The following is a 15,102-nucleotide window of genomic DNA, read 5'->3' as shown; positions in this document are numbered from 1 at the left end:
AATTTGCATTTCTCTGATAACTAATAATGTTGAGTATTTTTTGCATTTGTTTTTAACTGAGTTATATGTCTTATTTTTTGAGCAGTAGAAATTCTTTATATATTATGGGGTACAACTCTTTTGTCAGATGTATGTGTTGCTAATATTTCTTCCCAATCAATATATTTTGACAAGCAAATCTTTTCATTTTGATGCAATATAATTTATTGTTTTACTTTATTTTTGTTATTTAGTATTTTCTGTGTCCTAATAAATATTTTCCTGCCCCCAAATATAGTCTCCTATATTTTCTCTTAGAAAATGTATAGTTCATTTACATTCAGGTGTATGGTCAATTAATTTTTGGGTATGGTGTGTGGTAAGAATTGAGATCAATTCTTCTTCATATGAATATGAGCATAAGTCTACTAAATGGGGCTTCCATATAAACTATTGTTTTTCTGATACCAAAAAAAAAAAAAAAAGATTCAGCTGGCATGTGGCTTTTAATGTTTGGTCTTCCTTCTTCTTCCTGCCTGGATCATAGTAGTGAAATCCAGGGTGCAAAAGCCATTGTGCCTATAAGGAGGAAAACCACACATTAAAGATAATAAAATAGAAAGACCGAAGGTACCTGGGACCCTGATGAAACCATGGAGCTGCTGCTTCAACTCTGATCTACCAACATCTGAACATGCTTGTCATGCAAGATCAACCTACTAATTTCTTGATTCATCATAGTTAAACAAATATAGATAAGTGATGTTTTCTTCTTCATAATTCAGTGGTTTTCCATCACTTTTGGAATGAAATCCAAACTCATCACCATGGCCTATAGAGCCGTATGTAACACGAACCCCCACCTATCTCTCTGACCTCATTTCCTGCCACCCTCTATACTACAACCCACACTTGTCTAGCCATATTGGTCTTGGGGTGTTTCAGAAACAGCCACGGTTGCTCCCTTTTAGATCATTTATCTTCGCTGTTCCTTGTACACAGAACATTAATTCTGTGCACAATTACAATCAACATTACCCTCACATGGCTTCCTCACTTCATCCAGATATTTGCTCAAATACTGCCTTCTCAAAAAAGCCTCCCTTGATTGAACTCTCTAAAATGTCACCCATCACTTGTGGTATATTTACCATGCTTTATGCTCTTATTCACTTCTTTATGACCTTCATCACTTCCTAATGTATTTGTGTTTGATTGTCTCCACTCACTACATTGTAGGCACCATGGAAGTAGGTTTTTTGTCACATCCACCACTATATTTTCAGTGCCTAGAATAGTGCCCAGCACATAGTAGTTGCTCAACCAATGTTAATTATTTAAACTTTACCTTAGGATTTGGAGAAGAACTTCAGTTTATTCCTCTGGATTCTGGAGTGTTAGGATTTTGAAATGTGAGGGACACTGGAACTGTGACAGAAGTATTTGCATCTGTGACAGGTACTAACTGAAGGAAAAATATAATACAGCAAAGAGGATGGAGACAAAGGAAAAAGAGACAAAAGGCCAGAGCCAGGGTGATGCTGTGAACATCTGTTTCAAACTGGAGCTTGAAACCAGCACATTGATGGACTTTTAAGTTTCATTCTACTTATTTTTTATTTTATTTTATTTTATTTTTATTTTTTGAGACAGAGTGTCACTCTGTCACCCGGGCTGGAGTACAGTGGTGCGATCTCGGCTCACTGCAACCTCCACCTCCCAGGATCATGTGATTCTCCTGCCTCAGCCTCCCGAGTAGCTGGGATTACAGGCACCCACCACCATACCCAGCTAATTTTTTGTATTTTTAATAGAGATGGGGTTTCACCATGTTGGCCAGGCTGGTCTTGAACTCCTGACCTCATGATCCGCCTGCCTCGGCCTCCCAAAGTGCTGGGATTACAAGCATGAGCCACTGCTCCTGGCCAGATTCTCTCACTTTAAAAAAAACACTTTCAGTTGGGGTTTCTGTTTTGTTTTGTTGTTGTTTTTTATACAAGTAAAAGAATCCTGAGAAGTTACCATGTGAGCCATAACCTAGGACTAGTGAATACAAAATTCTAAGATGAGCCATAGCATTATAAAAGTTCAGAACTAAGCTGTTGTTTGCTTGCTTTGTTTTGGCCATGTCTTTTAAAATGTCTTTTTCAGAACACTGACGGGGCCGGGTGCGGTGGCTCATGCCTATAATCCCAACACTTTGGGAGGCCAAGGTGGGTGGATCCCTTGAGGTTAGCAGTTCAAGACCAGCCTGGCCAACAAGGTGAAACCCCCTCTCTACTAAAAAGTACAAAAAAATTAGCTGGGTGTAGTGGTGCACTCCTGTAGTGCTGGACCTCGGCCTCCCAAAGTGCTGGGATTACAGGTGTGAGCCACAGTGCCTGGCCGTGAATTACTTTTTATGTATGTTGTGGTGAGGTAGGGATTGAGATCTATTATAGAGTGTCTATATAAAACACTGGATCTCTTTTTTATATAATGGAATTAAAGAGAAATACAATTTAGAATTTAGTAGTAGGGTATATTTGCCCCTTTTGATGTAATAGTACACTACTTTTCATCAATAATAACAACTCATAAGTCTTAACGAGGTCATTTGTTTTGCTTTGGCTGGTAGAAGCTTAAGCAAAATTAAATATTTAATTGCCACAAGGATTCTTTTTAGGCAGTTAGAACAATCATTGCCCACCTCTTTAACTACATGATCTATAAACATCTTTATTTTTAACTCTGTTATTACATTTGTGATATTCATAGTAAGTGAAAGCTAATATCTACCATATAGGCAGAGTAATTATAATAGGTAGAAATATAGAGATGATAGATGATAGATAGATAGATTATCCTTTGCAATATTTAACATGTCATTTTATTTTTAGGGTAAAACTTACTCTTTAGTCCTATAGACTCTGGTTCCATATTCTAAGAATAAGCCTCCACATTTATCCCCTATTTTCCCCTACACTTCCTACCTATTTTTTTTAATCATATCACACCCCACCTCCAATGACATAAGTAACAGATCTAGGTCATATATTGTCTCGTGTTGCTTAATAACAAGGATATGTCCTGAGAAATTTGTCATTAGGAGATTTCATCATTGTGTGAACATCAGAGTATGCCTACACAAACCTAGATGGTATAGCTTACTACACACCTGGGCTATGTGATACAGCCTATTGCTCCTGGGCTACAAACCTATAAAGCATATGTTACTGTAAGAAAATTATAACACAATGGTAAATATTTGTATATCTAAACATATCCAAATCTAGAAAAAGTACAGTAAAAATATTGTATTGCAACCTTTGTAATGTTATGTTGTTATGGGTTGTATATGTGATCAATATTGGCCAAACGGCATTATGCAGTGCAGGACTGGAAATGGTCAAACTTGAAGCTGCTCTGATACAGAAAGGAAATAGTTTGAATGAGAAATCTTAACTATTCTTAAAAACCAAAGGTTAATTTTTAGGTTGTAATTTTTTCTTCCCCCTGCATCATGATTAGAAAAGAAATGGAGCTACTGCCAGTCCTGGCACTTTCTTCTCCAAGATGTGGCTGTGGTATGCTTTCTTCTATTTTTTTTTTCTCTGGGGACTTAGGGGGCATAAAGAAAAGCATTTTTGCAATTTGTGCCAGCCACTCTCCTTTCCTTGAATATTTCATTGCAGAAAGCTTGCTGGGTGGGGAGGGCTTTGATGCAGTACTTTATTCAATATCTGACTATCCACATTCTAGGAAATCATATTAAACATAAGGTCAATGACTAACAAGAGCTTTCTGAGCAGCTGCTCTGCTGACAATTTGGAGGATTGATTTCATCATTTGGTTATTTAAGCTAGCTATACAAAAACACTTCAATTCAATTGGCCTGGAAGTTCCAAACCATGTCCTCATTTTCTCAGAGATGGATAAGCAAGTCATGTTACTCCACAGATCTTCACTCATAGTTTCATCCTTTGAGAAAGCTTTGTTTTATTTTACTATTAAAAGCAAACACAAATAGATCTACCCCATCATTGGTTTCTCTTGCTAGTCCCATTTGTCTCTGATTTTATATCTGGCAATATCATTTTCTTACTAGAAGACAATGCCATTTTTCTACTAGCTCCCTGTTGCTGTCAGGTTAGATTCCAAACTCCTCAGCCAAGGTCTGTGTGACAAAGCCCAGCCTGCCTCTCCCCACTCCACCTCATTGGCCCCTGCACACACTTCTTCTCTGAGCCCAGTCAAATGATTCATAACAAAATCCCAGAACTCACGTGCCCACTGGACATTTCAGTGACAACATGCCTCTAACTCTTCTACTGATCCACACCATTCTTCTTTCGGGAAGACCCCAATTTTCCCCTCCTTCAAGCAGATATTTCTAACCCAAAAAGAAAGTTGGGTACCCCACCCTCCTTCCTCAGCAACCTCTGGTGATCCTTATTTTTAATATTTACTCTTTACCTGCCTCCCCCACTCAGCTCTTCAAGGTCAGGGATGGTAACTTACTCACTTTGATGTGCTTATTCCCAAAATGAGTTATTGAAGAGGTGCTTGATATTATCTGTTGAATAAGTAAATGTGTTATTCTAAGAGGAAAAGAAACTTTAGTAGCTTAATGGCCCAAAAAATCCCAAGTAGTTTTATATCGTCTGCTATTGTCTGCCTGTCAGATACAGTCTTTACTCTTCTCCATTCTTCCCTGTGTCTGAGAGGCTCATAATTTTGGACTTTATCTATTAGACCCTTTATTCTATGGCCCTGGGGAATGTTTGAGCAGAGGGAGGCACTGGCATGAGCCCAGAGGGTAGCAGAAGAAAGAAGTTGAATATTTTTTCTCTCTGTTCTCCTCTCTTGCTGGAGCACGGTTGGACATAACTAATGGCCATAGTTTCCATAGAGTGGCCTTTCCCACAAGATAGTGCATATTCCCATAACTGCTCCATTTTCTCACCCCTCCAAGACCTACCCTTCCTTCCTCTCCCTTCCTTTGCCCCATTCAACTATTGATAACCCCAGATGCTTCCTTCTTCCTTGTGGCTTCTCCTCTACTCTGCCACAACTATGTAAATAGTCACTTCATTAAACTCTCAGTCGTCCTTTTACATGAGTTGTCTCTGAATCCAGAAACTTCAAGAACCCTAAGTTTCTTTTGTTTGCCCTGTCTTTGCAATTCTTTTTCTATAAACCAATAAACTTAACTAATCATATTAATTAATCATATTATTTACCAGAAGAACATGTGTGTTTGATAATTAATCTTTATAGGAGAAGCTGTCACTACTCAAGGACCTGAACCTGGTTCGGTTAGACTCACCAAATAACAGGACAATTTCTACTATGCTCTATTTGCTTCTTTTCTTTTAAATGTAGGCTAGACCTCTCTGCAAAATACAAGTTGAATTATTCAAGTACAATCCAGACACACAGCATTCCAGAATCCTTAATCCCATTTCTCCAAATGAAGTCTGTGTTATGAGTGGCAAAGGAATCTAGGCTATACTGTTATGGTGAAAAATTACTGACTACTTCCCAGGCTTCCCACTGTTATAAGAGTTGTTCTAAAGTAACTTGGGTGTGAACTATTAGAATGAATGGTGGGTATTGAATTTTGTTCTTTTGTGTCTGGCTTTACCCTCCTGTCTCAATCCCGCAGTCTTTTCTTCTGTCACAGACAGTGGAATAGCTAAGAGGTTAGACAAGCCCATCACTGTGGCTGCTTAGTCAGCTCCTTGACCTGCCCAATAATAAAACACTGTTCTGGTTTGTTTTTTATTTTTCCTCCTTTTTCAATCTCGACCACTTCTATTGTCTAAGCAAGCAGCGTATGTTCTTTGGACAGGTTTAAAATCAGAAATCCAATCAAAATTGCTTTTTCTCTAAAGTACACTTGTTCACTTGTTTCTAAATGCCAACCTTTTAACTTTTCTGACTAACATCATGATCATTTAATCCCAACATATCCCAGAGCATTTAAGTTAACTTAAAATGTGAAAACAATCTGCAATTTACTTCACTGTGTAGCTGTGGGTGACAAAACCTGTGCCACTTACATAAATCAGGTTTTTGTGTCTTGGAAATAATTATATATTAACCTAAGGGCAACTATTTAACAAAAATTAAAAACCAAAATCACTTTTGATGCTTTTGACCATTCAATAATTTCATTATATATTACCAGGCTTCCTCACCTGCTCCCCTCCATCCGTTTTTTAATGGAAGTGTAATAAGGGCACTAAAAAAGGGGTTACTAATGTTTGCATAATTTGGAAAAGTAGAAGACATAAAATCTATAGTAATTTTAACTCTGCATCATTAAACATGAAATATTGATTATTGCTCTTTGCAACAGAATTTATGAAGCTAGCTAGGCTGCTGTGTCCACATTAAGTGATTCTGATGCTTTGCCCTCGGACCTCAGTGGCTGTAAATGATGCTCCCTGGTGACAACTGGGAGGCTGGCATTCTGATCCACAGCCTTAAGAGATACATTTCCCAGATTAGACCAGGAATGACCCAGCTGCACAGCCCAACTTCAGAAAATTAAATTGGAGGGAGTCCAAACCTCTGTTGAAATAACTGTGTGAATTACAATGCTTCCACAGGCCTTGTTATAATGTAAATGTGCTTTACAATTTACTGCCACTTCCCTTCTATCCCTGCTGTGAATATGGGCATTAATAGTCATCTCATATATTTAGAGGCAAAAAGGCATCAAAAATAAAAATGCAAGATTCATGTATTCTCCCTTTGGAAAGCAAGGACTAAATTCCTTGGTTTTTTTTTTTTTTTTTTCAAAAGGAGCATACATTTTGTTTATGTATTATGCATTAATGTTTTCTATGGCTGGCAAACCTGTAAATTTCACACAGGGAAGTTACCTTGCAGCTAAACACGAATTTCTTTAGGAGGAAAAAAATGGCAAATAGGACATCAACAGCTCATTTAAAGGATTCATTCAGTTAAGTTATGGTCACATGAAGCATACATGAGGTAGTAGACTTAAAAAGATATTTGCCTGTTTCTAACACTTTAAGGACATTTTGAATGTCCAACGAGATTCAGAGGGACTGTGATCTTACAGCAGTAATCACTGAGTGAGGTAGTCCTAGGCCTTACTACACTTGTCGACAGTGGACTTATTATTAACATTAGCTGCCTTCTACATTGTAAACTTAGAAACTTACAAACATAAGATATGCCTATGAAAATTGAAAATTGTTGTGATAGCTCATTGTTCTTGTTTGACCAACCAGACTACGTTCATAAACATTATTAGGACATAAAAGCTTTTGCTGCCACATGCGAAAATGTCAAACACCCGATCTAAGTCGAAACATAGCAAGTACAAACCTAATTTGGACTGGTTAAGTCATTGTCCCTGGTAACCTTGGATCTGAGATAATTTCAGTCCCTGAGATCCTCCAAGAGTAGAAGGGTACTTCTGGAAGGGTACACTTACAGCTAGATCATTCAAGCCAGCTCTTTGCCCTAATCTGAATAAGCACCAGCAAACTGCAATCCACTCGCACTGGATCCAGGATTGTTAGACAGGATAAGCCAGCCCAGTGCTATTTTGAAAAATACCCTTCAGGCTTAAATATTCCCCTCTCCTTTCCATAAGTAGTACATGGTCTCAAAACTTTTGCTAGTTTTAGATCATGACATTCAAAAACTATCATTATAGAATGAAGAACTGGCTCATTACAAAATGTCTAACCACTTCCATTAAATCTAGGATACAAGAAATTGAAACACTACTAGTAAAATTTTTTAAGTGGTCTCTTTGCTCAATGTTAATTCAGCTTAACAGCAGGACAACTATAAAAATTCAACTGAGATCAAAATATAGGTATAGGCACAAGAGTGTAGATATTTTTACATTTCATGTATTTCTGCCTTCTGAGAAAATTATCCTAGAGACCATGCTTCAAGATGAGAACACAAGTACAAATAAGCACAGAAGCCAACAAATAAACACCTCTCAGAAAGCAGACAGAATAGCAAATGTGGATACGTGAATCCATACACCAACTCTGGGTTTCTTGCACCAAAGCACAAAAAAAAAGTGCAGGCAATCAGAACAACATGTAACTCCCAAATTGTTTATACCTGATTCTGGAATGCATTTTGTTGTAGTGTAGCAAACACCATCCAGATTAGATTTTTTTGCTTAGCAGGGTTAGAAAGTGAGTTTGCATTTCTTATGTATTTACTAAGTGATGTTGTGAAGAAGCAATCCAAATGCATGCTGGTAAGAGCTCCTAAAATGCCCTGCAGCCCTTCATACCGATCTATCTCCCCCTTTCTATCCCCTCCACTACCACCCTTGTTCAGGGCCTTGATTCTTCTCTCTGGGACTATTTCATTGTGCTGCCTAATTGCTTTTCTTTAAGTACATATTCAACAATTTAAAACATTATTTTTATTATTGTAGAGACAGGGTTATACAGGCTGGTCTCTATCTCCTGGTCTCAAGCAATGTTTTTGCCTTGGCCTCCCAAAGTGCTGGGATTACAGGCATGAATCACCGTGCCGGGCCCATCTCCAATAATTTAACTCTTCTGCTCATAAACACTACTGCTAACTTAAACAAAAACAATCTTCGGGATTAAAAACATTCCTAACTCCCTAGCCACAGGATTGCTTCTCTTATACCTTCTGAAATTCTTCAAAATTCATTTGAAATGTGATTTTATATATTTTAGTATTTCCTTCTGCAACTAATTCTATGTCATTTCTTTGAACTATTTTTATTACTACTAACATTAATTGAATTTTACTAGGCTCCAGGCATGTTGCATGAATTATCTCTTAAAAATTATCACAGAAGCCTTATAAAAATAGCAAAATATGCCATTATTATTCCCATTTCTTGGATAAGAAAACATACCTAGGAGAATAAGTAACTTGTCCAAGGTCTTATAGCAGAAATGAGGTGCCAATATAATAAGCAGTCTGATCCCAGAATCTAAACTGTATCATCTGCACTCTTTTCCCATGAATGACTTGGGACTTACACCAGTGTGAGTAGCAGCAGTATCTCACTCATGGCATTTGTAAAGAAGTTGTAATGTTCTGCAAACTGCTCGGATTTATCATTTAAATTAGATGCGTCATCTAATTACTGTCTGATCTTAGAAAGCAACTCCTTCCATTTAGATCTCAGTTTCATCATGTGTAAGATGATGATGGCAATGCCTCCTATACAATACTATGTGGGGATTAACTAAAATAACATATTTAAAGGTGTTTTGTGTACTCTAAAGTGCTGGTCATCCACAGAGAGATTCCTTAAGTGTCACACCAAGGATAGCAATTATGTCTTACTTGTCTTGTCATTCCTGTGGTGTCCAGCTCTGCTCCATTCCTGTGTAATCTTGGGCTGTGTGACTCCTTTGAGCCTCAGTTTTATCATCTGTAAAATGGGGACACTAATTGTACCAAATTTCAAAGCTTGATGATTAAAAATTCAGTCTTGCACCAGGCAAATAGCAGGTGCTCGATGACATTAGTTATTTTAACTATCACACAGATTTTTATTATTATGTATCTCAGACTCTTCAAAACATGGATGTTAACCTAAGTATCCTCCCCTGGCTCACTCTCAACCCATTTCCCATTAGTTACCCAGTTTTGCCAAATGGCCTCTGGAACACCATCTATTCTACTTTCCTTATTTGAAGACTTATTGCCTGCCAGAAGGAGCAACCTGAAATGCCAAACTCATCAGGACAGTCAACTCCTTGGAACCTTTCTTGACCCCCCTCACCTAGCAGATAGAGCCTAAGCCCCTGGGCCTGGCAGGACTTCATACCAAGTTCTGTGTGACATGCCCTCTCTTTCCATCCCCAACCGACTTAATTCTCTTGGAACATAAACGTGTCATCAAAACCCAGAATGAGATCATGAACTCAAAAACTTGGGATGACTCAGTCCAGATGTGGGTTCAAAAAAAATCGATAAGAGAGTCTTTTAAAAAAGAAAGAAAAGGTTAGTAATATATTGCAGTGTCTATATTATCATTAAATAGCGCAGCATTACCTCAATTATCTGGAGAGCAGTCTCTAGGAGAGCATTATATATTGGAACAAATCTCTATACCTGGATGTTAAGTCCTATCTGTCCCAGAAGATCTGTCACACAGCTCTCAGCCAACCCCCACCTATTTTACCTGAAAGTTTTCATTTAAAGTCCTCTTTAGGAATGATTCTTTCCCACACAACAATAGTGGGAGACTTTAACACCCCACTGTCAATATTAGATCAACAAGACAGAAAATTAACAAGGATATTCAGGACTGGAACTCAGCTCTGGACCAAGTGGAACTAACAGACATCTACAGAACTCTCCACCCCAAATCAACAGAATATACATTCTTCTCAGCACCACATAGCACTTACTCTAAAATTGACCACATAATTGGAAGTAAAACCCTCCTCAGCAAATGCAAAAGAACAGAAGTCATAACAAACTGTCTCTCAGACCACAGTGCAATCAAATTAGAACTCAGGATTAAGAAACTCACTCAATGAGCTGAGATCACACCACTGCACTCCAGCCTGGGTGACACAGGGAGACTCCATCTCAAAAAAAAAAAAAAAAAAAAAAAGAAAGTCTCTCAAAACGGCACTACACGGAAACTGAACAACCTGCTCCTGAATGAGACTACTGGGTAAATAAGGAAATTAAGGCAGTAATAAATAAGTTATTTGAAACCAATGAGAACAAAGACACAACATACCAGAATCTCTGGGACACAGCTAAAGCAGTGTTAAGAGGGAAATTTATAGGACTAAATGCCCACAGGAGAAAGCAGGAAAGATCTAAAATCGACACCCTAACATCACAATTAAAACAAGAAAAGCGAGAGCAAACAAATTCAAAAGCTAGCAGAAGACAAGAAATAACTAAGATCAGAGCAGAACTGAAAGAGTTAGAGACACAAAAAAATCCTTCAAAAAAATCAATGACTCCAGGAGCTGGTTTTTTGAAAAGATCAACAAAATAGATAGACCACTAGCCAGACTAATAAAGAAGAAAAGAGAGAAGAATCAAATAGACATAATAAAAAATGATTAAGGGGCTATCACCACTGATCCCACAGAAATACAAGCTACCATCAAAGAATATTATAAACACCTCTATGCAAATAAACTAGAAAATCTAGAAGAAATGGATACATTCCTGGACACATACACCCTCCCAAGACTAAATCAGGAAGAAGTCACATCCCTGAATAGACCAATAACAAGCTCTGAAATTGAGGCAGTAATTAATAGCCTACCAACAAATAAAAGCCCGGGACCAGACAGATTCACAGCCGAATTCTACCAGAGGTACAAAGAGGATCTGGTACCATTTCTTCTGAAACTATTCCAAACAAATAGAAAAGAGTGACTCCTCCCTAACTCATTTTATGAGGCCAGCATCATCCTGATACCAAAACCTGGCAGAGACACAACAAAAAAAGAAAGTTTCAGGCCAATATTCCTGATGAACATTGATGCAAAAAACCTCAATAAAATACAGGCAAACCAAATCCAGCAGCACATCAAAAGGAACGATTCTTAAACAAGCTTAATTTTATTATTTCCTAGCTTGCAGGAAATAAAAGAATTCATAAGAATGTGATTATCAGAAAACAAGAATGAGATAAGGTGATCACAGATTAGATGTGGGGGGAAGAAACAAGAAACTAAAAACCAGATCCTAAACTGTATTTTCACTGAACACATATATAAAGATTTCTACTGTCTGGAATGTCATCTCCTCTTGAAATGTCTCCAAGTTTCCTCATTTGATGTAAGCTTTCACTCCCTGAACTCTTACAGCTGGATGTGGCTATGCTGGGTAGAGCCCTTATGTTGCCCATATAAGATGCCTGGTTCTCCTTACATAGCCTAAATGTTGGGAGCAGAATCTTTTTTCCCATTAATTCTAAATATCTTTCTAACTTACAAACCCTGCTTTGGCCAACTGGGGCGTGCCAGCTTCAAACTAGGAGTATGTGGAGCTTGTGGTCAGGCATACATCTTCCCAGAATATCAAGTTTACTTCATGAACAGCAAAAGCGTGATTTCAAAATGTAGTACAAAGTTTGAATTAATTTTAGAGCTAAAATAGGAGGCCTCAAATAACATTTAGGTTTGAATATGGCTATTTTTCCTACACACCCCCAACAATAATACACATAGTCACTATTTTCTGCCTTTGAGATTTCTGGGTGGAGAAGTTGACAAACACTACCCTGGATAAGACAGAAAGTGAATATCGTGTAATTTTTAAATTAATATGGCTAGAAAGTATGTAATAGTATGAGTTCTATTTACAATGGATAAAGTTTTTAAAAAAGTACTTGTGAAGGTAGCATTCTTCTTTTAAATGCCATAGGCCTTTATTATATTTCCTCATCGCTTGTCAGGGAGGAAGGTGAAATCCATCTATGTCTAATGCCTTCTTTCTGTGTGAGATTGTATGAAGCAGGCATCACTGTTTAGGGAAGGGAAAGCTTACTTCTACACTTGATTGCTTATCAGACCCAGTAGATGCTGGGTTTTCTGAGCTTGTATTATAATCTCCTGGATACATCAAGTATCATAAATTTTAGCATCCAGCATAATTCTTAAGTGCATACAGCAATAACTTAAGTGTTAAGAGGAATATCCAATAGATATTCATTAAAAATATCAAAAAAGACACATGCACTTGTATGTTCATTGCCATGCTATTCACAATAGAAACGACATGGAATTAACCTAGCTGCCCATCAGTGATAGATTGGATAAAGAAAATGTGGTGTATACACATTATGGAATACTACACAGCCATAAAAAAGAATGAAATCATGTACTTTGTAGAAACCTAGATGGAGTTGAGGCCATAATCCTAAGAGAATTAATGCAGGAACAGAAAACCAAACACTACATGTTCTCACTTGTAAGTGGGAGCTAAACATTAAGCATACCTGGACATAAATAGGTACAATAAACACTGCAGATTATAAGAGGGTGGAGGTAAGGAGGAGAAGGACATGGGATGAAAAAGTACCTATTGGTTAGTATGCTTACTAACTGGGTCCAATATACCCATGTAACAATCCTACACATGAACCCCCTGTATCTAAAATCAAAGCTGAAATTTAAAAAAAAATTAACAAAACTGTGGTTGAGGTGGCAAGTAATTTTAACCCGGAAAAAGGAAAAGAAAAAGAGGAGGAGGGGAAGGAGGGGGAGAAGGAGGAGGAGCGGGGAGGAGGGGGGGAGGAGGATGGGAGAGGAGGAGGAGGGGGAGGAGGAGGGGGGAGGAGGGGGAGGAGGATGGGGGAGGATGGGGGAGGAGGAGGGGGAGGAGGAGGAGGAGGAAGAGACTTTGGGGTTGAGTAGAAGCCACAACACAGAAAGCATGAAATTAAAAACAGAAGTTGAGAAAGAACATGAAAAAAAGGGCCACAAGCAAGAAAACTTTTAGTCATTTAATCATTGTTCCATTCATTGTTTAACAAAAACGTAATCAAGTGTTAGACACTGTGCTATGGATGGGGCTGCAATGGCCGAAGGGGAAGCTATTAAGAAGACACAGCCCCTGTCTTCCTGCAGCCTGAAAGGCCCAATATAACCAGAGCGAAGGAAAGGAGTTGCTGAAGACTATTTCTATGCAAAAACTGACTTAAACATTTTGACATTCAGGACAGAATGAGATCAAAGAAGCCTGACTGTTATATGCATGACAATGGAGCTTGAAAGTGAATATTCTAGATAGGGCCAAGAAAAGGCTAAGAGTGGACCCATGTGCTCACCGCTGGGGAGTTGCTCCTTATTGGCCGACTGGAATGGCATGCCTGTGTGCAGAATGTGGAAAGAGTGATAGAAATGCCACCAAAGTTAAAATGTAAAGTTCCAGGGTGTGGAATAGAGGCTTGTTCAGTAAAAATGGCATTTATTGTCAGAGACAGAGACAAGGCAGGCAGATAGACAAGAAAACAAAAGACTGTGGCCAAATCTGCTTTGTCATGTGATGAGGCTATAACACCACTGTGGATTAGAAGTTCCATTTACCCCCTGCATATTATAATCTATTAACAACAACTGAGTACCACATCATGTCTAGTAACATCAAAAGTAGATTGTGCAGAAGATTAAGTCTTTCTTCTATAGATTTATCCATTCTAAACCACATATTAATTTTCTTAAATAGAGATACCCATACCAAAGGGAAAATATTAGGTTTATGTAAACAGGCCATCACTTTTTTTTTTTTTTGAGACGGAGTCTCGCTCTGTCGCCCAGGCTGGAGTGCAGTGGCGGGATCTCGGCTCACTGCAAGCTCCGCCTCCCGGGTTCACGCCACTCTCCTGGCCACTGTCCTGCCTCAGCCTCCCAAGTAGCTGGGACTACAGGCGCCCGCCACTACGCCCGGCTAATTTTTTGTATTTTTAGTAGAGACGAGGTTTCACCGTTTTTAGCCGGGATGGTCTCGATCTCCTGACCTCGTGATCCGCCCGCCTCGGCCTCCCAAAGTGCTAGGATTACAGGCGTGAGCCACCGCGCCCGGCCAGGCCATCACTTTTTAAAGTCCACAAGAAATTCCCAATGAGATGACTTTATTCTGCTCATATGTGAAATGCCCCATTAGTGCACCATTACATTTCATAATCTTAGTGATTGCCCTAAATTGCTTCATAACAAGTAGGCGAACAACATTGATAAGGAGAGGTATTTTATTCTAAACCGAGATATGTCAGAATTGGTATTTTTTTCTTCAGACAGCTACAGCAGCATGTTCAGAAAGAAAGCCTACATCCCAAAGAGGAAATTAAATCTCAGCTGAGCTTTCTGCTATTAAAACTACTATTACATCTTTTAGACATGTAATCTCTATGTGCTCAAGATATTGACACAACTGTTATCTAAAAACCAAGTGGAAATAACCAGGGGAAAAATGCTTGGTTTTCTAAAGGTAGAGGATGAGGAAGGAAAGAGATGGAGTAAGAAATTACTGGAACAGAACATGGAATGGAATCTCTACTATTCAGAATTGCCTAGAATTGTGGTGCTAACCCTGCAGTGCACAGTTCACTAAAGCTCTCATCCCCAGCCTGATGACTACTCTTCCCTCTTCTCCCTATTTACA

The 15,102-nt window shown here is 38.5% G+C and overlaps 2 protein-coding genes across 7 annotated transcripts in view, besides 1 other annotated feature; both read right to left on the bottom strand.

The window, feature by feature from the left end:
• Window positions 1-15,102, bottom strand: part of IQCJ-SCHIP1 (IQCJ-SCHIP1 readthrough) — an 828,041-nt gene that overhangs the window by 654,326 nt on the left and 158,613 nt on the right. The window lies entirely within an intron of this gene.
• The window catches only part of IQCJ (IQ motif containing J), a 196,989-nt gene that overhangs the window by 23,274 nt on the left and 158,613 nt on the right, over window positions 1-15,102 (bottom strand). The window lies entirely within an intron of this gene.
• Window positions 13,361-13,964: an enhancer, noted in NCBI's record as "OCT4-NANOG hESC enhancer chr3:158946859-158947462 (GRCh37/hg19 assembly coordinates)". NCBI's record gives its function as "activates a minimal SCP1, AML or CMV promoter by ChIP-STARR-seq in primed H9 embryonic stem cells {active_cell/tissue: H9 hESC(primed)}" and the evidence as "EXISTENCE:reporter gene assay evidence [ECO:0000049][PMID:30033119]".

Source organism: Homo sapiens, chromosome 3 (assembly GCF_000001405.40).
Source record: "Homo sapiens chromosome 3, GRCh38.p14 Primary Assembly".
Lineage (NCBI taxonomy): Eukaryota > Metazoa > Chordata > Mammalia > Primates > Hominidae > Homo > Homo sapiens.
This window is presented reverse-complemented; position numbering and strand designations above follow the sequence as displayed.